At 33.6% G+C, this 23374-nt stretch overlaps 1 protein-coding gene and 1 non-coding gene across 29 annotated transcripts in view, besides 1 other annotated feature; both read left to right on the top strand.

The window, feature by feature from the left end:
- Positions 1 to 23374, top strand: part of SUPT3H (SPT3 homolog, SAGA and STAGA complex component) — a 568878-nt gene that overhangs the window by 163177 nt on the left and 382327 nt on the right. The gene's annotated exons all lie outside the window — the stretch shown is intronic.
- Positions 4719 to 4919: a silencer, noted in NCBI's record as "peak5821 fragment used in MPRA reporter construct". NCBI's record gives its function as "represses an SCP1 promoter by STARR-seq MPRAs in K562 erythroleukemia cells {active_cell/tissue: K562}" and the evidence as "EXISTENCE:reporter gene assay evidence [ECO:0000049][PMID:32103011]".
- On the top strand, positions 16988 to 17084 carry MIR586 (microRNA 586). The gene has a single exon (NR_030313.1). It is a non-coding gene; the product is annotated as a microRNA 586 (primary transcript).

The following is a 23374-nucleotide window of genomic DNA, read 5'->3' as shown; positions in this document are numbered from 1 at the left end:
CCTCCCTTACCCTCCCGAGTAAATGGGACTACAAGCATGTGCCAACACACTCAGCTAACATGAAATAAATTATTTTAGAGATGGGAGCTCACTGTATTGCTCAGGCTGGTCTTCAACTCTTGGCCTCAAGTGATCCTCCTGCATCAGCCTTCTGAGCAGCTGGGATTACAGATGTGTGCCACCACACCTGGCTTTTCAGTCTTTATTTCAAAATTGTCTGTACTTTATGATCCATCTTTAAATATTTATTTTCAGTGTTTTACATGAAGAGTTTAATTATTAGATACAAGTTTCTGTATTTCTTTCCTTTCTGTATTTTTTCATTTTTTTTTGTATGTAATTCTTTTCTTTAATGCTGATTTCCTTTCTCCAAGTAATCCTGATTTTCTTGCCCCAGCTTTTACTATCATTAGTTTTCTGAATACTGTCAATCACATTACATTCCCATTTGGCAATTTTTGCTTTTTCTTCATTTTTAGATTATTTTTTTCTCTGTTATTTTCACTTTTCTCAGCATGGATTGAGAATGTGTGTGGTCACTTATTTAAATTTTTTTCATAAGGTGTTGTAGAAAACTGATTTTTTCCTTCTGAGCTGTTATGTACTTGGGTGGTCACTGAATCGTTTGATACTGTAGCTGTGAGCTGTGTTTGCTCATTTATACATTGGTTTATTGTTTAAAATCTCTTCCTGGAGTTAATTGCTTTTAGTCTATTGACTTGTTTTTTTTTTTTTTTTTTTTGCATTTCAAAATCTCAAAAGGCTTTCGAGTGTTATTAACATGATTATGGACATGGCTGATTACATTTAAATAGTAAATTATGTAAATTTTAATGTATTTTAGAAATTTGAAATAAGCCCTTTTTAGTACCAACTTTCAAATTGATTCCCAGACGAGAATTTTTATCTTCTGTTTAAAATGATAGAGATTTGGTAATAAAGACTGCTGTCTTAATTCAAAATTTGGAATAATTTTTGTGTGACTTGGACTAAAAACTTATAAAAATTTAGATTTTTTTCTAGCTTTTAATAAATAACGAACATTTAATGGGCTTCCTTGTTCTTAATAATTTGATTGATTAATTATCGTAGGATATAATCCTTAAAAGTTTGCTTACTGTTTCAGCAGAATTGGTCACTTATGATTAATATTACCTAATTGATTTATGAATGTTTTGTTCATTCTCTTATTTACAGTGGCTATAAATATTTGTTTCTCCAACATATTACAACACAGTATTTATCTGTTTTATCTTTGCCAATGAAGAATAATAGGTTATTTAATTTATATTCCCTCAGTGATGTTAAATATTTAAAAAAAAGTTTTGGCCATTTATGTTTGTTCTTCTGTGAATTATAAAACAGTTCATTTTTCTTTTGGAGCATTCTTTTTTTCATATTAAATTTACATGGCTTGTTATATGCTAAAGACATTAACTTATTAAAAAATACATGTTTGTTATATGTTTTATTCAGTTTTCTTTATATTCAGTTCATCACCAGAATGCTTGCCTTTAGGGGTCCTGTTGCTTGAACAATGCATACTCAAACTCTTCCAGGCGCACTTCCTGTGGTGAGAAGCTCAAGCTAAATGAATCATGAGGGAACTTAGACTCATGTCACTCTTCAGGATATATGCTAATTGAATTGTGTGGCAAACACAGTTGTTTTGTCTTTTTGACTCTCATATTTTAGAATATTGGTGGGAGCTTGGTGTCATTTGTTTGGCTAAACCAGTATATTTTTGCGTTTACATTCAAAATCGGCTTCCTTTCTTGTGCTGATTGTGGCATGTTTTGGTATTTGGGTTTTGTCATCCTTGGAAAATAAACTTGCCTTACCTGGAAACAACCTTGTATAATTTTTGATCATGTAAATGCATCCATCCATGGTGGGGGAAGGACATCACCTGTAAACAGAAGGATATTTAAGGTAAACAAGAATGGTATTTAATCAGGTATCAAGAGTAGATCCTAAAAGACAATGAATGATGTCCTAAGAACTGTGAGGGAAGGTTATTTGTATGTAGAATTCGATACCTAAGCAAATTGTCAGCCCTGAAGACAGAAAAAGATTATTTTTAGGTATTCAAGTGATTAGTACTACATTCTATATACCCTTTGGAAGTTTCTTGAAGACTTTCTCCAATAAATAAGGAAGAAAATCAAGAAAAACAAAGTCATAGGACCTAGTGAGTAGTAGAGTCAATACACACACACACACACACACACACACACACACACACACACACACACACACACACACACACACACACATAGTGGAGGTGGAGGGAAGTTTCAGAACCTACGGCTGAGGAAGAGAGCATTTTCCAGGAAGAAAAGGAAACTCCTTTTAATAAAGCCATGATGAAGTGAGTGGAATGCTTAAACTCATTGAGATACATTTTTCATTTTAAACAAGAAGAATGAAAAGAAGTAAAATTCCAACCCTAAAAGTTATATTAAAAGTTCGGGGAAGAACAACCAAGTATAGTAAAATGAAGCATGATTTTTAAGCAATTGATTCAGCATAAGAAAAGTGTGTATATTTGATCTTGCTGCTAGAAAAATTTCCTTTTTCTTTTTCTTTTTTCTTTTTGAGACAGAGTCTTGCTCTGTGGCTGGAGTGCAGTGGTGCAATCTTGGCTCACTTCAGCCTCTGCCTCCCGGGTTCAAGGAATTCTCTCATCTCAGCATCCAGAGTAGCTGGTAATACAGGCATGCACTGCCACACCTGGCTAAACTTTTTCCATTTTTAGTAGAGATGGGGTTTTGCTATCTTGGTCAGGCTGGTCTTGAACTCCTGGCCTCCTGTGATTCGCCCACCTCAGCCTCCCAAAGTGCTAGGATTACACATGTGAGCCACTGTGCCTGGCTGAAGAATTCTCTCTCTCTTTTTTTTTTTTTAGTTGAGACGGAGTCTTGCTGTGTCGCCAGGCTGGAGTGCAGTGGTGCTATCTCAGTTTACTGCAACGTCCGCCTCCGGGATTCAAGTGATTCTCCTGCTTCAGCCTCCCGTGTAGCTGGGATTACAGGCACATGCCACCACGCCCCCCTAATTTTTATATTTTTAGTAGGGACAGAGTTTCACCATGTTGGCCAGGATGGTCTCGATCTCTTTACCTTGTGATCTGTCTGCCTCGGTCTCCCAAAGTGCTGGGATTACAGGTGCGAGCCACCACGCCTGGCCCAGAATTCTCTTTTAATTGGCCTAGAGACCATGTTATTGGACAAATACCGAAGGAGATGTGTTCGTTGTCCTCTACTTGGAAAGCACAGAACATAATTATAATAAAAATAATCATTTTTATTGATTTTTAGAATTTAGAGTCATTCTGTGGTCAAAACATAAGTGACTTGTTTGTATTTAAGGGAGATAATATGAATCTTAATAAACTTTACAGTATAAAAATAAACATAAAGTATGAGGACCATGAAAGGGCAGGGGAGAGAGTAGGAGCCTTACTGTTACAACTTCACCTTACAGAGATGGATATCGAGATACTGTAGAACATTAAGAAATAAAAGTTTACTTACATTTATAAAAATTAGATTTTTTAACCATGTAAGTATTTGCTTGTAACTTTTATACTTGTTATTTTCAAAGACAGTTATGTTGGGAAATTTTGACTCATTAAAATTTTTTTCTTCTTTGTTTAAAAAAAATGGAAGTGTAATAAAATGAGTCTAATAAAAAACACCTTTTCCCATGCTCCTTTGTGGAATGGTCAGTTAAAGTGAAAGTCACTGGGTGGAAAACTTTTGGGACTGGTGCTTGAAAGAGGCTTGTTCAGATGGGAGCTTACTTTACTTTTTGCTCCCTTTTCTTCTCTTTTCCATTCTTGTACTTGGACCTGGTCTTGGATCTTTAAGAGAAAGACTGGAAGCACAGACATGCTTCTGAGATATTGTGGGTTTAGTTCCAGACCACCGCAATGAAGTCAGTCTCATGAATTTTTTGATTGCCTGGTGCTTATAAAAGTTACATTTACCCTATACTATAGTTTATTAAGTGTCTGTGAATGCAAAAGTATCTGAGACAGATCTCAATCAGTTTAGAAAGTTTATTTTGCCAAGGTTAAGGATGCACCCATGAGACAGCCTCAGGAAGTTCTGATGACATGTGCTCAAGGTGGTCAGAGCACAGCTTGGTTTTACATATTTTAGGGAGACATGAGATATCAATCAATATGTGTAAGATATACATTAGTTCTGTCCAGAAAGGCAGAACCTATTGAAGTGGGAGAGGGGGCTTCCAGGTTATAGGTAGATAAGAGAAAAATGGTTACATTCTTTTGAGCCTCTTAGCCTTTTACTGAAGACACAATTTATATGTGAGAGGAGGGTAGAGGAATAGTCACTTATGCCTTTGTCAGGCTTAGTGAAACAATAGGGCAGAGAAAGCAATCAGATATGCATTTGTCCTAGGTGAACAGAAGTATGACTTTGAGTTCTGTCTGTCCTTTGTCTAAAAGCAATTTCCTTCTGGGCAAATTGTGAGGTGAGTATGTAGCTTTTTATCTTTGTAGCTGTCTTATTTAGGAATAAAATGGATGGCAGATTTGCCTAACAGTCTCCAACTTGTCTTTTCCCTTTGGCTTAGTGATTTTGGGGTCCCGAGATTTATTTTCCTTTCCAGTAGCCTTATGTCTTTAAAAAAAAGCAGTATACATACCTTAATTACAAAAATACTTTATTTTTATAAAATGCTGTCTTGATCATATGAGCCTTCAATGTGTCATAGTCTTTTTGCTGATATCATCTGAGCCTTCAGTGTGTCATGGTCTTTTTGCTGGTATCGTCTGAACCTTCAATGTGTCATAGTCTTTTTGCTGGCAGAGGATCTTGCCTTGATGTTGACAGCTGCTGAGTTTGAGTGGCTGAGGCAATTTCTTCAAATAAGACAACAATGAACTTTGCTGCACCAGTTGGCTTTTGCTTTCACAAAAGATTTCTCTATAGCACATGATGCTCTTTAATAGCATTTTACCCACAGCAGAACTTCTCTCAAAATTGGATTCAGTTCTCTCAAACCTTGTATCTGCTTTAGCAACTATGTTTATGGAATATTCTAAATTATTTGTAGTCATTTCAACAATGTTCACAACATCTTCACCAGGAACAGATTTCATCTTAGGAAACCACTTTCTTTGCTCATCCATAAGAAGCAACTCCTCATTGCTTCAAGTTTGATCATGAGATTGCAGCACTTTAGTCACACAACAGGCTCTACTTCTAATTCTAATTCTCTTACAGTTTCTACCACATCAGCAGTTACTTCCTGCTCTGAATTTTTGAATCCCTAAAAGTTATCCATGAGCGCTGAAATCAGCTTCTTCCAAACTCCTATTGATGCTGATATTTTGACCTTCTCCCATGAATCACAAATGTTCTTAGTGGCATCTAGAATGGTGACTCCTTTCCAGAGGGTTTCAACTTACTTTGCCCACATCTGTCAGAGGAATCACTATCTGTGGCAACTGTAGCCTCATGAAATAGATTTCGAAAGTTGAGCTGACTCCTTGATCCATGGGCTGCAGAATGGATGTTGTGCTAGCAGGCATGAAAACAACATTCATCTCCTCGTATATCTCCACCAGAGCTCTTGGGTGACCAGGTACATTGTCAATGAGCAATAATATTTTGAAAGGAATCTTTTTTCTGAGTAGTAGGTCTCAACAGTAGACTTAAATTATTCAGTGAACCATGCTGTAAGTAGATATGCTGTCATCCAGGCTTTGTTATTTCATTTACTGAGCAAAGGAAGAGTACATTTAGTATAATTCTTAAGGGCCTGACATTTTTCTGAATGGTAAATGAACACTGGCTTCAACTTAAAGTCATCAGCCTCATGAGCCCCTAACAAGAGGGTAAGTCATCAGCCTCATGAGCCCCTAACAAGAGGGTCAGCCTGTCTTTTGAAGCTTTGAATTGACTTCTCCTCTCCAGCTATGGGAGTTTTAGATGGCATCTTCTTCCAGTAGAAGGTTGTTTTGTTTCCACTGAGAATTTTTTTGTTTGTTTTTTTTTTTTTTGAGACAGAGTCTTGCTGTGTTGCCCAGGCTGGAGTACAGTGGTATGATCTTCACTCACTGCAACCTCCACCTCCTGTGTTCAAGCGATTCTCCTGTCTCAGCGTCCTGAACAGCTGGGACTACAGGTGCACACCACCATACCTGGCTAATTTTTGTATCTTTAGTAGGGACAGGGTTTCACCATGTTGGCCAGGATGGTCTCAATCTCCTGACCTTATGATCTGCCCGCCTTGGCCTCCCAAAGTTCTGGGATTACAGGCATGGGCATCACGCCCAGTCAAGAATCTCTTTTTTTGTATAGCCATCTTCATCAGTGATCTTAGTTAGATCTTCTTGTTAAGTTGCTACAGCTTCTACATCATTGTTTGCTCCTTCACCTTGCACTTTTATGTTATGGAGATGGCTTATTTCCTTAAGCCTCATGAACCAACATCTGCCAGTTTCTAACTTTTCTTCTGAATCCTTACCTTTCTCAGCCTTCATAGAATTGAGAAGAATTAATGCCTTGGTCTAGATTAGGCTTTGGCTTATGGGAATGTTCTAACTGGTATTATCATCTACCCAGACCACTAAAACTTTCTCCATATCAGCAATGAAGTTGTTTTGCTTTCTTATTCTTGTATTCACTGGAGTAGCACTTCTGATTTCCTCCAATAACTTTCCCTTTTCATGCACAACTTGGTTAACTGTTTGGCACAAGAGGCTTAGCTTTTGGACTGTGTTGACTTTCGGCATATCTTCTTAACTAAGCTTAATTCTTTCTAGCTTTTTATTTAAAGTAGAAGAAGTAAAACTTTAACTTTCACTGGAACAGTTAGAGGCCATTGTAGGGTTATTGACTGGCCAAATTCCAATTTTGTTGCATCTTGAGGAATAGGTAGGCTCCAGGAGAGGGTGTGAGATGGGAGAATAGCCAGGTGGTAGAGTAGTCAGAATATACACAATATGTATCAATTAAATTTGCTATTTTATATGGGCCTGGTTCTTGGTGCCCCCAAACAATTACAGTGGTAGCATCAAAAATCAGTGATCACAGATCACTATAACAGGTGCGAAACTAGTGAAGAGTTTAAAATGTTGTGAGAATTATCAAAACATGACACAGAGATATGAAATGAGCCCATGCTGTTGAAAAATGGCACCAAGTAGACTTGCCACAAATGACATACAGACTTGCATGAATTTTACTCATCTTAAACAACAAACACAACATCTAGATCATACATTAGTCTCTATTTACCATCCCATTACCTTGCTTCCTTTTTAGCATAATTTCTCAAAGGAATTGCTTTCTCCCTATCTCCAGTTTTTATCCTCCCATTCTTTCTAAAATTTACTTCAGTCAGACTTTTTCCTTTTATCACTCCACCAAAGCTGCTCTTCTCAGGTTCACCACTGACCTTTATATTGCTAAATCCAGTGGCTAGTTTTCAGTCCTTATCTTCCTTGACCTATCAATAGCATTTGACACAGTTGTTCACCCTCCTCTTTAAAAGACTTCATTCACTTGACTTCCAGAACACCTCAGTCTTCTGGTTTATTTTTATTTATTTAGGTTTAACTTCACTAAGTCGTTTCTACTCATCTCCTAGATGTTGTTTGCTTTTCTTCTTCTGGATCTCTGAACAATGGATTGTGCTAGGTTTCAGCCTTTGTTTCTTATCTTCTCTATCTAAACTTAACCTATAGTTGATCTCATCCAGTCCTGTGGTTTTCAATATTAAATACCATATACCCAACTGTTTCTGACTACTCCACATAGAGCTTTCCTCTGAACTCCTTGTTCACATATTGAAATCAGTACTATACCTCTCTCTCCACTTGAATGTCTGGTAGATTTCTCAAATTTAGTGTAGCCAAAACCAGGTCCTTATATTCCCTCAAACATGCTCCTGCTGCCATCTCCCCCTCATCTCAGCAATCTATTTGGCAATTCTTTACTTCCAGCAGGTCAAAATCTTTGGAGTTATCTTTAACTCTCTCACAGCCCACATTTCTTTCCACTGCTACACATTGCTCTTAGTCATTACTATCTTTTACTTGGATTTTATTCTTGTAATAGGTCTGTCTTTCTGCAACTACTTTTGCTCCTGTTTTTCATTTCTACCCCCTGCCCCTTGTTTTATTCTTCCTGTGATATTGAGTGAAATTTTAAATATTTAAATTAGATTTTTTTTTTACTTTTATAATTTGAAATTCTTTAATGGCTTCTCATTTTATTCAGAGTAAAAGTCACATATTTTATGATGGGCTGTGTGTCCTCACTTTTCACTACTTTTCTGATCTCAGTTTCTTCTGCTCTTGCCCTCACCTTCTGCTAGAATATTCTTTCCTCAAATATCTTCTTACTCTCTTCCTCATGTTCCTGCTTAAAGGTCTCCTCATCATTGAAGACCTCATTGATCGCCATATTTGAAATAGCAGTCTTTCCCTTCTCTACTTGCCATTTCTACCTAATTTTTCTTCATAGCCTTATCTCTGTGTGACACTGTAAATATCTAATTTACATATTCATTTATTCATATATTATTCTTCCTTACTAACACATGTTCTTCATAAATGTATTTTAGTCAGTTTTGTTCAGTATTGTATCTCTCACACATGGTAGGTGCTTGCTAAATGCTGGTTAAATGAATGAGTCTTACATACTGCATAGATACATAGCTAAAAATTAATATAATGGAATGTCAAATTTTATTTTCAAGTAAGTGTTGTGACCTATTTTCAAACTCCAGCACTGTGACTCTAGAATTATTTCTCATAATTGTTGAATTTTAAGGCCTTCTGTGAAAATAATTGTAGCTGATCATAAGAAAAAGGCAGTGAGCTGATCTCAACTGGTAGTCTGTTTTCAGCACTGCCATTAACTTAGTGGTGTAACTTTGAACACATTGCTTACTGGTTTTTTTTTTTGTTTTGTTTTTTTTGAGACAGAGTCTTGCTGTGTCACCCAGGCTGGAGTAGAGTGGCGCAATCTTGGCTCACTGCAGCCTCTGCCTCCCAGGTTCAAGCAATTCTCCTGCCTCAGCCTCCCGGGTAGCTAGGATTACAGGCACTTGCCACCATGCCCAGGTCATTTTTGTATTTTTAGTAGAGATGGGGTTTCACCATGTTGGCTAGGCTGGTCTCAAACTCCTGACCTCAAGTGATCCGCCATCCTCGGCCTCCCAAAGTGCTGAGATTACAGCATGAGCCACCACCCGCAACCATTGCTTTTTTGAGCTTCCTTTTCTTATCTATGAATTGCATTTTGTAAGCTATACATTATATAAAGTTTATCAGAATTTCAGGAATTTTATATTATGTAATTGTGGAATGGTATGCCATGACCTAATGGAGGTGGAAACTATAGAAAATGTGGGAATAAATAAAGATCATTCCAATAGTGCAAACTCGGAAAACTGGCAACATGGAGTCCTTCTATGTTATGTCTGATGGTCTTCAGTAACTTAGGGCATACTACTTTGCATCTGTAGATAGAAGTGTAAAATATCCTGCTTAAATGATTCCAATGTACTTTTGAGAAAACTAAAAAACCAATCTGATAGAAGGAGAAGGAAATCTAATAGGTTGAGTAGCTAGTTTGGGCAGGTTATAGAAAGAGGATTTCAAAAGTCAGAGATGGGAATTTGGTTTTGCTTTATAGTACAGTATAAAACTGGAATCTACGAGATATTATTTCTATAGTTAAAATGAAAGTACTGCATGAGAAAGTTGAGCCCAACATGGGCATATTTAATGAAGGGGAGATTGGAGTTAAGCAAGCAAGTTAGGAAGTAAAATTACTTGGTATAGTAATTTCAGGAATAAGAAGGGTCTGAATCTGTTTTAAACTGACAATAGTGAGAATGAGAAAAATGGGTTAATGTAAGAAAGGAATAATAATAGGATCTGGTGATTGATTAGATATGGAGGAGTCAAGGAATCAAAAATTAAGGTGATTTTGGGTTTCAGCCTGAGTTATTAGGGGTGGTTTCTGTCAGTCAGTAGCCTGGGAGTGATTCCAGGAAAGGATTGTATTTGAATGGAAGGACTGCATCAAGATTTGGAAATTTTTCAGCATAGAGGTTTTCAAACTTTTCCCCCCAAATGAAATGTTATGTGATGACTCGATATGTTAAAAACACATAAGATTGAAGCAGATCTGTTTGATGCAGAGGTGGAGAATATATGTGGAAGGAACGAGCATCTTCCTGACTCTTGTCCTCCTTGAACCCAAAGGCTCTGATGAGTATAGTCAGAAATCACCAAAGTAGATTCTTTATAAGTGTTCCTCGTAGATCCAGTATTTGGTGAACTGCTTGTCTGTGATAACCTGTGTATCTTCTGCATGGCTGTATCTTTTGTTGTTTCTTCTCACCTTAGCAGTTATCAAATGTTTATTATTTTAGACTCTTACCTGGCTCTGAAGATGTATAGAATACAAAAGAGATACAGGTGGTTCTTCTTCTTCTTCTTCTTCTTCTTCTTCTTTTTTGAGACGGAATCTTGCTCTGTCACCCAGACTGGAATGCAGTGGCTCAATCTCGGCTCACTGCAACCTCCACCTCCTGGGTTCAAGCTATTCTCCTGCCTCAGCCTCCCGAGTAGCTGGGACTATAGGCATGCACCACCACACCCGGCGAATTTTTGTATTTTTAGTAGAGATGGGGTTTCACAATGTTGGCCAGCTGGTCTTGAACTCCTAACCTCAAGTGATCCTCCAGCTTCGGCCTCCCAAAGTGCTGGGATTATAGGCGTGAGCCACTGTGTTTGGGTGGCCCTTCTTAACGGAACTAATAATTTATTATAGAAAGCTGCCATTTAAAAGCTGTGACAGAGAAGTATTAGTAGTTCAGAGTTTAAGTAGACTTAGTGTAGTCTGTCATGTTTCATAAGAGGGATGGTCAAGGGGGGCTTTCTTGGAAAAGTTACAATTGATCTTGCCTGGAGATGAGAGAGAAAGTGCACAAATAGGTTGTATGAAAAACTGAGAGAAGTCCTTCATGGCTGGGGCAGAAGGCTCTGCATGAGGCTGGAGAGGTACAAAGTAAAACTGGTAAGATAGATTAGGACCACAGCAACACATGTCGTGTTAAAGATTCCGGACATTATTTTGACAGTATTGGTAATCCACTGAAAGGTTTTTTAGTGAGGGCATAAAGTGACCTGATTTGCATTTCAAACAGATCATCCTGGGCAGAAATATGCAGAAAAGGTTTCAAGTGAGGGAGAAGTGAAATTGAGGGCAAGGGGATGCAGTAAGACTGCCTTGGAGTTTACAAAAATAGTTCAGATGAGAGATAGTCTGAATAACAGGTGGTGCTGCTGGGGAACTAAAGACAACTCAGGATATACTTAAGAGGTAGAATTAACAGGAATTGGTGATCATTTAGGTACAGAGTGTAGGGCAGAGGAAAGTATCATTGATGACAGCTTAGATTTTGACCTGAACAGTTGGGTAAATGTTAATGCCGTTTATAAACTTTATGGACTGCACCTCCTTTATTTCGGTTGTTTTGCATGTTGTCTTTACATGGTGTTTTCTGTCTCCTCAGTGCCTGTGTTCCTCGCCATTTACTCCATGCCCTGTATTCTCTATCCACTTAAATGACTGCTTTATAAAACCTGTATTTTATTTTATTTCGAGATCTTCCTCCAAACTGTGGTGCAAGACTTCCTTCATGGAGTCTTTCATCAATATTCTCATCCTTGATTATGTTATCTTTACCTTATATTTTATCAGTATTTGTGTATAATCTATATCTTACTGTCTTGTATTTGATGCTGCTCTGTAATTGATCTCTAGTGATTTATATATATATACACACACACACATACATTTGTAGGATTTCTTCAATTTATATTATCATTTATTTCTACATTATGAATATCTGCACCTGAAAGTCAGTGTAAAATGTGTAAGTACTAACTACCTCTGTTAAATCAATTTGCTCTTTAGTTCATTAAATAGAATTGTATATTATTTATAAATGTCAGATTTATAATATTGATAAACATTTTTTGTCCGTTCTAGGTTAATGCTCCAAATGGAATGACAATGATATTTCAAAATAGAGATTTTGATAGTACGAGTAGTAATAATGTACAAGGTATTTTTTGACGCTAATGACTAGGAAAAGTTTATGGATACAATTATTTAGGCAAACTTCTAAATGGGATATTTGACTACGTTATACAAAAGATCATTGGGTAAAAGCAATCTGATTAAGTTTTTATTAACTTTGTAAATGCTTTTGAAGATACTGTTATATAAAAAGTAATCCTAAATTTTTGTTGCAGTAGTTTTGACTTTAACAAGTATGTAAGGCCTTCATTGTTTTCCTTTTTCTGTTTTCTGCTCTTCTTTCTTTTATACTATTTTATTTTTATATTCTGGATGTGAAATTTTTTTTAAACCGTTTCATAATTATCTGCAATTTTATAATTTTGTAAACGTTCCAAGGAAGGTATCATCATTATTAAAAGATTCTTATGACAGATAATGTCTAAATATTGCATGATTTATTTTTAATTTCCAATTATTGGGTATGTCAAAAGAGTTAATAGTATTGCTTTTGATGCCTGATTTTGAGAGCTGGATTTCTTATTTTGGAAGATATTCAAAGTGAAAATAAAATGAAGTCACCTTAATATTATAATGGCAAAATATATGATTTGTACCATTTTAAGAAGTTGCTTGAGTCAGTGAAAAACAATTGAGGTTTCCTAACTTTGGAAATCACAGATGTAAAATGTTGATTAGTCGTGCATATTCTACTACTTTTTAACATGTTAACATAATTTGAAAATGTACATTTTATGGGCTTAACTAGTTGCAAATTAAGCAGAACAATATAAAACTGTTAATATTTTAAAAACTAAGCATAAGGTAGTTTGGTAAATTTTAAGAACACACATGTTTTAGTTGGAACAGATGTGAAAGACATATTATTTTAAAGGAAAATGGGGTCCACAGCTATCTGTTTGGAAATGTCTTTCAATTACAGTGGCGTCCATGACTGTTGGATTAGAATGAAGATTTGGCTGGAAGTTCTCTCTGTCCTATTCTGTGTTTCCTTTTGAATAAGAAACAGCATGTGTGAAGTACATTTACTATAATCCATTCCATACTGGGTAATAAAAATTCTGTGAAGAATGATTATGCATGTTATGAAATTATTCCGATTATGTTTTTTTCCACTTTCAGCTCACTAGTATTTTTAAGTTTATATAAATTTTACAGAGTGTGTTGATATATTAATTTATTTTTAAAAATGGGAATATGGAATAACTAACTCTCATTATAGATAATCGCATTCCATTGGTGGTGTGACTTCCTGTATTTTACCAAATGTGAAACAGTATTCACTGAAAAAGAAATAAAAATTTTCTGAGTGAGCAATAAACCAACCAATTAGAAATGAATTCTTGCATTTTAAGTTGGCAAGTTGCAGTATGAGATTATTTGCATTTACCAATTCATATGTTAAACTCTAGGATTACACTGAACTTTAAAAAATAAGACAGTTGAAAGGGTAACTTTTAGTTCACATTACAAATAAAATGAATGATTATGTTACCCGTATCATTCACTTAAGCTTAAATATTAAAATTTTGGTTAATGAAATGCAAGTTAACATGTATACTTAATTATTATGTAAGTTACTAATCATCAGAAAATATTTTTATGCTTGATTTTAGTAAATTCGTTTATATTGAAATCTTCGTATTGTTCCCATAAGGAAGTAATACATAGGTGCTTATGTGTATATTTGTACACATGACTGTTTAATTCAAATTGACAAGAGAGAAACTTTGATTTTGTTACTTTGAATGAAAATGATTACAAATAAGGTACATTTATTACCAGTATGTAATTTATATAAAGTTTATGGTAGCATCCTCAAATAAGAATATTTGACATATTTGTTCTAGGCATTATGTCAGTGAATACCACAGTTTTCTTCTTTCAAATTAAAAAAAAATCTTATATTACAGTGATGCTTTTCAGGGTAGGCCTAAAGAGAATGGACTTTGGAACCAAACTGTCACTTAATAACTGTGTGACTTCTGGTAAGCTGCTTAACCCCTATGAGCTTCATTTTTTATTGTCTCTAAAGTGAAAGGTGTTCTGAGCATTAAGAAGGTTCAAAAATGTAAAGTGCTTACAAACAGTACTTTGCACATCATAAGTACTATTAGCATATGATATCTGTTAGTTTTTTTACCAGCTGCACCTAAAAAATATGAGGCTTTAGGATCTTGTTAAGTTTGTTAATATTTTTAAAATGTGCATCAAAATGGGATATACTTTAGACATTTTGATCATGGGTTAATTTTTTATTAATGTAATAAGTCATACTTGCTTTCATTCAACATTGAACAATTTAACTTTCATTTAATGGTAACTTACTAGAAATAGACAAAATATATATGGCAGTTATACAAACAATATTTTGTATGATAATACAATTAGAGAACATATAAATACAGCACTCATTATGTTTACATTTTAGGATTTTATTAAACATTTGTAGAATTGAATAAGAAATGTTAACAAATATTTACACTGAGTATTGTTACTAATTAATTTTCAAAATTATAAATGTTTTTCTTTCATCATTTTGCTTTTCATTTTTCTCTATTGCACAGAAGATTTTTATCTGTCGCACAGAATAATGATTCTTACAGTCTCTGATTTGGTTGATGGGGTGTATAACATTTGACTGAGTGAGTCTTTGCAGATGTTTATATGGACGGAAGCTAGATTATAGTATTTCAGATACAAACTGACTGACTTTCCTTGGAACAGAAAAATTCTTGTCAGTTAAGCCACAGACTCACATAAATAAGGCTCTAGACTTAAAGAAACATAATGTTTAACTAATCTTTGAAAAACCTGAGTTCAAAGTCATGTATTGATTGCAAAAAAGGAAAACATTTCTGAATTATGAATGGCTTTTGTACTGCTGTCAGATGAAACATATTCCTTTTAGGGTTAAAGACAGAAAAAAATACCCACAGAGAAACAGAAAATGTGTTATAGGTTTAACAGTGGTTTCAAGTAATGTGAAAAATTATGCTACTGTGAAACTACTGAAGAATTATCATCTGACTATTGAATTACCTACAAATGTCAGTCTTCTATATTTAGTGGGGTTGGTTGCCTGACCATAGTGTAGGAAAAATAGTCTTTTGGATGACGAAGTATTTTTGCTGTATTCTTTATTCTAAAACAAATGACTTTTTTTTTTCACTGTAAGAAGCCCAGGAAATGATCTTAATGGAGTTAAAGAAATATGCAAAAAATACTTTTTTTTATAAAATTACTTAAGGTGCTGCAGAATTGTGGAGATTCATGCTCTAATTGTAATTCCTCAGATGACCAGAGCAGGTCTCAGGTTACATTATTTGTATATAATTTTAAGTTCTGAAGGGTATAATAAAATAGTTAAAAATTAAGCTGAGTTGTTTTTTTCTGGCAAGGAAAAATAGACTTAAATCTTTATATTGGAAGCATTCATTAATCACATATATACATTTAATCCAATGCAACAACAGTATTTTAAAATAGATCTTAAGAAATAGGTGTATTTTATTGTCTTTGAGTTAATACATTTTGAAATATAAAATTGTATGCATTTCTAATTTTAAAGATGTTGTGTCTTTAAAGATGACAACAGCCCTTATAAGCACTAGTAAAAGATGTAATTATTTCTAGTCTTAAGATTTTAAAATGTTATAAAATAGCACAGATATTTGTTAAGTAACAGTATGGGAAATAAAGTGTTGTAATTGGTCTGTTATAAAGCTATTCTGTTGCATTTTTCTATATCCTTAATTACATGATTTAGTTTCATATTATTCAAAGCTTAAAATAACAGATATGATTAGAAGTTAGTACATTTACTTAAAAATAATAGGTAGCTATTTCATGATAATAATTAAGATGTTGGTGTTCCAAATGTAACTTCAGGTAGTGTGACTTAACTCAGAGTAACTCAAGGAAAGATATAGCAGCTTAGTCAAAAACCACTCATGTTACCTGTTATAAATAACCCTGGATCAAACTAATTTTCTTAAAAATTAACTTATATCAAGAAGTTATTTTAACTGTGTCGTTGTTACAGATGAGACATTGATTCATTGTTATATGCTATTCCCAAGTTCTGAAACTTGATTTGTTTTCACAAGTGAAAATTTCAGCAAATTAATGTATTGGGACTGATTCTTTTCTTTTTCTTTGTTTTCTTATGGTTAATTAAGAAAACAAATATTTTAACCTAAAGATATAACAAAGTATTAGGAGGAAGGTTTCTAGTTTTAAATTGCAAGGCTTGTGTGTTCCATAAGCCACCAGTGTTTAATTCAGTATTTCCATCTAAGAACTTACATTATAGCAAATGAGGTAGACATTTATACCTTTTTTTTCTGCTGCTGTTGAATACAAAATGACACTCAGTATTTGTAAAAGTGATCCTGTTTCAAATCAGAAAACTGCATCACTAGAATATGTATTCCTATTTTGAAAAGCTATTTTTAAAATATTTTTTTGTTCCTGCCTGGCTTTCATATTGATTAGACCAGCTCTTAAGAAGATATGATTAAGTATCATTTTAAAGTAAAAATGGGTATTCAAAGCATATAACATTTCAGATAATATCTTGTTCAGCAGACCAAAAGATAAGTTGAGAACTTTGAGAGATTTTTTTATTTCTAGAAATGCAGTGATGGAACATTATCAAGTTTGGGTTATTAAACAGTATTCAGAGTAAGAAGAAATCTGAATGCTTTTGTAAGTTTACAGTCTGAATAGATGCTAATTGCAGATGAGAAATACAGCTTTAAGTTTCTTACGTTGTATGTAATTTGGGTTTTTTTGGTGATTAATATGGCAGTTAGACTCACTTTACACTTTGTAAATTCAAAGAAAAGCAATTATCTAACAAAGTCAAATTCTTATTAAAAGACATGGGGTAAAACCATTATGCATTGTATTTTTAGGTCCCAATACATGTGGGCCCTAAAAATACAATGCATAATGGTTTTTCACTCTTTATCTTCTTATTTTATGTAAATGAAAAAATAGTATTGTCAATTTTTTTCTGCAAATACCACAAAACTTTTGTCTTTCTCATAGTTTACCTTAATTTTGTTACATTGCATATTTCAATTTGAATTCTTATTTTTTAATTAGTTTTAAAAAGCATGTATTATAGAGGATATATGAAGTATTCATCCAACCAAATAGCATAATTTAACTGATCTTTGAAAAATGTTTATTGGTTAAATGCACTTAGTAACAATGTATGTAAAGAAGAAACACCATGTAAAACAGGAGCCACTTAAAAATTCCTTGGTAGATTTATTTTTCTTTCAAATCATTTAAGTTATTAGATCATAGTATGAACTATTGTTCATGAGTTTTTGAGTCATTTATTTTAAAAATTTCATGAAAAAATCTGAAATGATCAAGTGACATTTTCTCTCCATTTACTTGATTATTTGTTCATTCAGTGTTAATTGAACACAATTTTATTGGATGCATCAAAATATTAAAAAATAATCTTTATTCCTATTTCTGATACTTAAAACCAATTTAAATATGTAGTAGCAATTTTAATATTAAAATGAGAAATGAGTATTGAAGAATTATGTCTTAAAACGAAACTTCTTCCTCCACTGTTGAATTTAGCATACTATTTTTTATGTTAACCTTTTGTACCAGGGATTTTTTTTTCTTCTCCTCAGAAGCTGAGGATGTGTTATTTTAGATGTATCTTTACCAAGGAAGAGATGGTAAATCCATGTTGTGGCTTTTTACGTATTTTATAAAGACAGGGTTTTAAAAAAATAATATAGCAACACTGTAAGTCAATCTTCTCCATGTTTTCTTGAATCATTTTTGTATTCTCATCTTTTATCAGTAGTTGTCACACTTTTTATGGAACCAAATGCCTAATAATTGAAACACATACACATGATCTTTGAGAAATCATGAAAATACAATTCTTGTGCTTAGTGATATCCAGAAAGCATAATATTCTGAAAAAAGTTATTCCCTTCAGTCAATTTAAAATTAAACACTCTAATGCAAAAGGATATCTAAGGTGAAAGATGTTTGTGTAATGCTAAACATAACCAAAGAAACTGTGGTTTTAGCAAAGGTACTATTGCTCTATTTTATCAAGTGCCAGAAATTGCATAATGAAAGTCTTTCAGTTAGTGAAAATATAAGTATAAAAACACAAAAATACCACCCAGCTGGTAGAGATCTTCCTAATTTTTACCTGATTGTATTTCTGAAGAAATATGGCAGGGCTGTCGTAAATTTTCAACATGAACTGCATTTTTGTTGCCAATTTCCATATCCTTTAAAAAGTGCTGAAGCGTGCATTTGCTATTTATGTTTGCAGTAGACTGAGTACACTTTTACTATTTGTGGTTTTAGAAATTGGAAACAACCAAACAGTGGTGCTATGGTCTAAAAAAATAAATTTTAAACAGCTGCGGGACAGTATTTTTAGAATGGTAGGAGTACTTCTAAAGCAATATATCTGCCCCCTACCCCCTTTTAAAATGATTGAATATTGTCACAGATATAAAGTCAGATATCTATTGTGTATTATCTATGGTAGATTGGATAAATTAAACTAAAAGTATATTTTGATAGATGTGAAATATATTTTTAGCGTGCTAGTGTCAGCTCACTTTTCTAACCTGTAAATATTTGTTACTATATGCCAGCTACTGGCATATACACTTCATAGGCGTTGAATCTTCTCCTTCCTTGGGTAAGAATGATCATTATTCCCATCTTACAAATAAGAAAACTGATGTAAGTAACTTGCCCGGGATCAGAAAGTTTGTAACTACCGACCTCAGTGAGATTCAAACTAAAGACTCATGAATCCAATTGTTTTTCACCTTATGTTTGGGGCAGATACTATTAAAAGAGGAAAAGAAATAATATGTACCCTAGTTTTAACTTCAAGTATTTTTCTGCTGATGTTACTGAAATATGAACAAATATAAAAATCTAGATAGCAATTCTTCATTGCATTTAAATCTATTGAAACTACTAAGTCAAAAACAATCAGAAATGAAAAACAAATCGATCATATCACAATCAAAATAATAACCTTAATTTGATATGACAGACTTTTAACTCCTGAAAATAAATTCCCTTTCTTAATATGACTACTGTGTTCTAAAAGTTTGTTACATCTTCCCAGTGCTTTGCAATTCTTTTGACATTATGGCACAAGTGAAAAATGATAATATTCATAGGGCCACTGGATATAGAAGCACAAGGTTGTTCTTGACAGCAGACAATTCAGGGGTTCCTAAATGCCTCTGGTCCCACCAGTCAGGCATTCCATAGGCTGAGAGCATTAAAACCTACACACCTGTACCTAGTTGGTGGCTTTTGTTCCTAAGGGCATGGGTTGGAAAGCTCTGATCATTGCTCTCTTTTTCTGTAAGATAACAAACACAATTTCCTGTGACTTTTCTCTGTTCCAGTTATTATGAAACCATTGTATAATATATCATAGCATCACTTGGCCATTATTTTGTATTAAGCTAGCCTCATTTCACGTCCCTTCTTTCTTTTCCATTATCCTGCCACAAAAAGCCAATTTTTTGTGCCAATTCATTGTTTTTTATTGACATAAAAATTTAATTATACAAGAAATATTACAGAAAATTTGCAAACTCTCAAGAATTAGATTCACAGATTTCAACTGAAAAACATTACACTGCAATTTATAGGTCTTTTCACAGTAGTTAAAGCATTTTAGTTTTGCCTTTTATGATTTGGTATCCTAGAAACAGATAAATTTGTCTAAAGTATAGTAGTCAGCTTCTTTTGGAATAAAATTGCTAAGCATTCTGAGATTAGATGAATACTACTTAGGATGAGATTGGGTTTAAATTGTATTGATTTAAATGACTGTAAGAAAAATATCACAGCAGGTTCAGTTTAATTTTTTTTCTATTGCAATGACATTCTTTTTGTTGCATTATAACCGTAGTGTATTTTTTATTAGAATTAATGTATTTTTATTAACCTTGATGCCACTTTAGAGAACTTCTTTTGATTGTATACATATGTGTGTGTATTTCACTAAAATGTTTTGCAGCATGTGCTTATGAAGGCATTAGAAAATAAATCATTTTTACTTCAACCAATTTAGTCATAGAAGATTGAATGATAATTTTACTCTGCTCTTTTTTGGTAGAAAACAGTTATCACCAATACAACAAGCACTTGAATAGTATTCTTTAAACTTATGATTTCTGTATTTTGTTGTAAACAATAGGTTTAGTAAAACAAAATTTATATTTGTAGATATATAATAGAGGTGGTTTTTCTTCTTCCTCCACACCACAAACAACACTTTAAAGTATCATTTTGAGTTGATTTTTTTTTCTTCTCAACCAGATTCTATATAGCATGATTCTTGTGAAACCAGGGATACATGTGTTGTGTTTGAAATATAGTTAATAAAGATAAGATGATTTTCTTATTTGGATGATGGAAAAAATGTAAATTTTATTTTTTAAATGCATACCATAAAATGTAAAGTTTGACAGAATCCTGTTGGTTGTAAAAGTATGTCAGTTGTGAAATAACCACATAGACCGTGTAAAGGCCTGCTAATAATGATCAACAAAAAGTTGTCTTTAATTTCTAATGAATGAACCCACTGGAAAAGGAAGCTGAAGACCCAAGTGTATAACTGGACAGTTTAAATTTCTAATGTGGAACAGATATATACTCTGTTCAATGTGTGTTTAAACTAAGACACATTTTAAATAGATAAAATACTTAAAATTTCAAAAGCTGTATGTTAGTTTACAGAACTAATGTTAATTATCTGTATGAGGGCTCACTCTAAGAATTCTGTATTGCAATCTTTGGGATTTAATCCCTAATGTACGTTACAACCTGGTGTGACTCTACTGATTGAACTTTTCTAAGAAAGCTAACAAGAATACATTATTTTTATTTTTATTATTTGAGATGGAGTTTTGCTCTTGTTGCTCAGGCTGGAGTGCAATGACACGATCTCAGCTCACTGCAGACCCTGCCTCCCGGGTTCAAGCGATTCTCCTGCCTCAGCCTCCCAAGTAGCTGGGATTACAGGTGCCCGTCACCATGCCCAGCTAATTTTTTGAGGAATACATTATTTTACTCAACTTTGTTCAATGAAGGAGTATTTATTGAACACTGACTCTGCTTGGCCCTGGAGATTTAAAAGTGAATTTGATACAGCATCTTAATATTTAATTTGACATTACAGAAGCTTTTTCTTGACATAATCTTGAAATATTAAAATAGCTTTGATTTTAAAAAGTCAAAGATTCTTAATGAAAAACAATCCCTTTTAAAATTTGGAACTAAATTTTAAAGCTTATTTAGGACATTAAACTTTTCTGATCATGGCCTATTTATAAATAGTAGATTTTACATTAGGAACCAGTGTACACAAACTTATATATAAATGGATATAAGTGGGGTTTTTTTGGTGTACATGTGTTATTCTGAATCGAGAGTTTCAAAGAACATTTATTCCTACTTTACATACATACACTCTAATATTTATTTCTTAAAGCGTGGTGGTCATGGTCCCTTAACGAATCTTACTTAGTTTGAAAAACATTGTCAAAGAGAATTCTTTGGAACTCTATGGGTGCTGTTTCTGTTTTTGTCCTGGTTTCTACAGTAAGTAGCTTCATCAAATGTAGAAAATTTGGGCGGGCTGGTCATAACAAAACCTTTTTAGAAAATGGTTCAAAGAGCAAAAGAGTCGGATACATTTTCTTACAATTTTGCATTTCTCATATCTATAATACTAGAAGTCAGAGTTATTATTTTTGTGTCTTAAATCTTATGGAATTTTATATTTCTGATTTTCTTTATTTGTTGTAGCTAAATTCTCTGCAGTAGGGATCTGCTTTAGTGTGGTGTGATGAGTCATAATCAATGAGTTATTAAGTTCTCTGTGCCTTTTATTCTCAGAGTTAACCACTTTGCTTTGATTCGAAATATTAAGTAAGGAATCTTTGCTTTGTTATATGATAAAGGCTTATAAAGTGTGCAAAGTTGTTCTTTCATTAGATCTAAGATTAAGAACACTTTATTTAAATAGCTTATTAATACAATTTAAAGAGAAACACCAAAAATTACCTAATTATTCATCCTTGTTAGGCTGACTTATTTGGGTTATAAACATACTCTTTAAAAACATAAAATTAAAGCTGAAATAAATTAAAATGTATTTTTTTGAAGTAATCAAGTTTCATTTTCATCTGATCCCAAGTTAACCATTCTCATTTCAAAGAATATAATTCTTGTGCTTAATCAGATTTTTGCTTTTTCAAACAGTTTCGTTTTAATAAGTCAAAATGTTATATAAACAGAAGACATTGTATTTCCCTATAAACTGATTTTTTCCCCTTGCAAAATCTATATTACAGCCAGTTCCATAATGCCAGCATGGGAAACTTGACTTCTCCTTTCATCAGATGACTAAGAGAATTCAGTTAACTGCCTGTAAAAGATATTAGAAGTATACTGGGAATACCAACTCCTAGAAATCTAAATTGAAGGGATTTAGAGAATGGGAGTACTGGACTAACAGATACGAAAAACTTATTTCTGTGGCAGAGCTTTCAGTGAACTAATGTTGCCCTTTTCGACATAGCAGTTTCTCTGACATCAGTTTACTCAGTAAAGTAAGTGAATATGAGGAGACTGAAATAAAATGTTGAAGACTTGTATTGGGTATAAAGTTTGATTATATAAATTTAAGAAATGAGGTATATTAATATTTTTTAGTCTCATGACCTGAATTATTTAAGCCACAGACACTGGAAGTGCTGGGATAGTAAATAATATCTTCTCTGCTTTTGCTAGGGAGATGACATAAATACGTTGTTGTTGGTCTTAATGTGGAATTGGTGATTTGATAAACGTTTTTGTAAAATTTGAATGTAGCTAACTTTTTCTCTCTTAAAGTGCCCACATTTATCTTATTTTTGTAGACTGTATTTTTTAGAGCAGTTAATGTTTACAGAAGAATTGAGCTGAAAGTACAGAGTTCCTACCTGCCACCCTCCCTACAGTTTCAATTATATTTGTTGAGCCAATATTGATATGTTATTATTAACTAAAGTTCATAGTTTAGGATTCACTCTTGGTGTTTCACATTCTGTGGGTTTGGACAAATGTATAATGACATTTATCCACCATTATATTACTACACAGAATAGTTCCATTGCCTTAAAAATCCCGCGTGCTCCACCTATTCCTCCCTCCTTCCCTCTGAATTTCTGGCAAACACTGATCTT

This window comes from Homo sapiens, chromosome 6, assembly GCF_000001405.40.
Source record: "Homo sapiens chromosome 6, GRCh38.p14 Primary Assembly".
NCBI classification, from domain to species: Eukaryota; Metazoa; Chordata; class Mammalia; order Primates; family Hominidae; genus Homo; species Homo sapiens.
The sequence above is the reverse complement of the archived record's forward strand: the minus strand, read 5'-3'. Positions and strand labels throughout refer to the sequence as shown.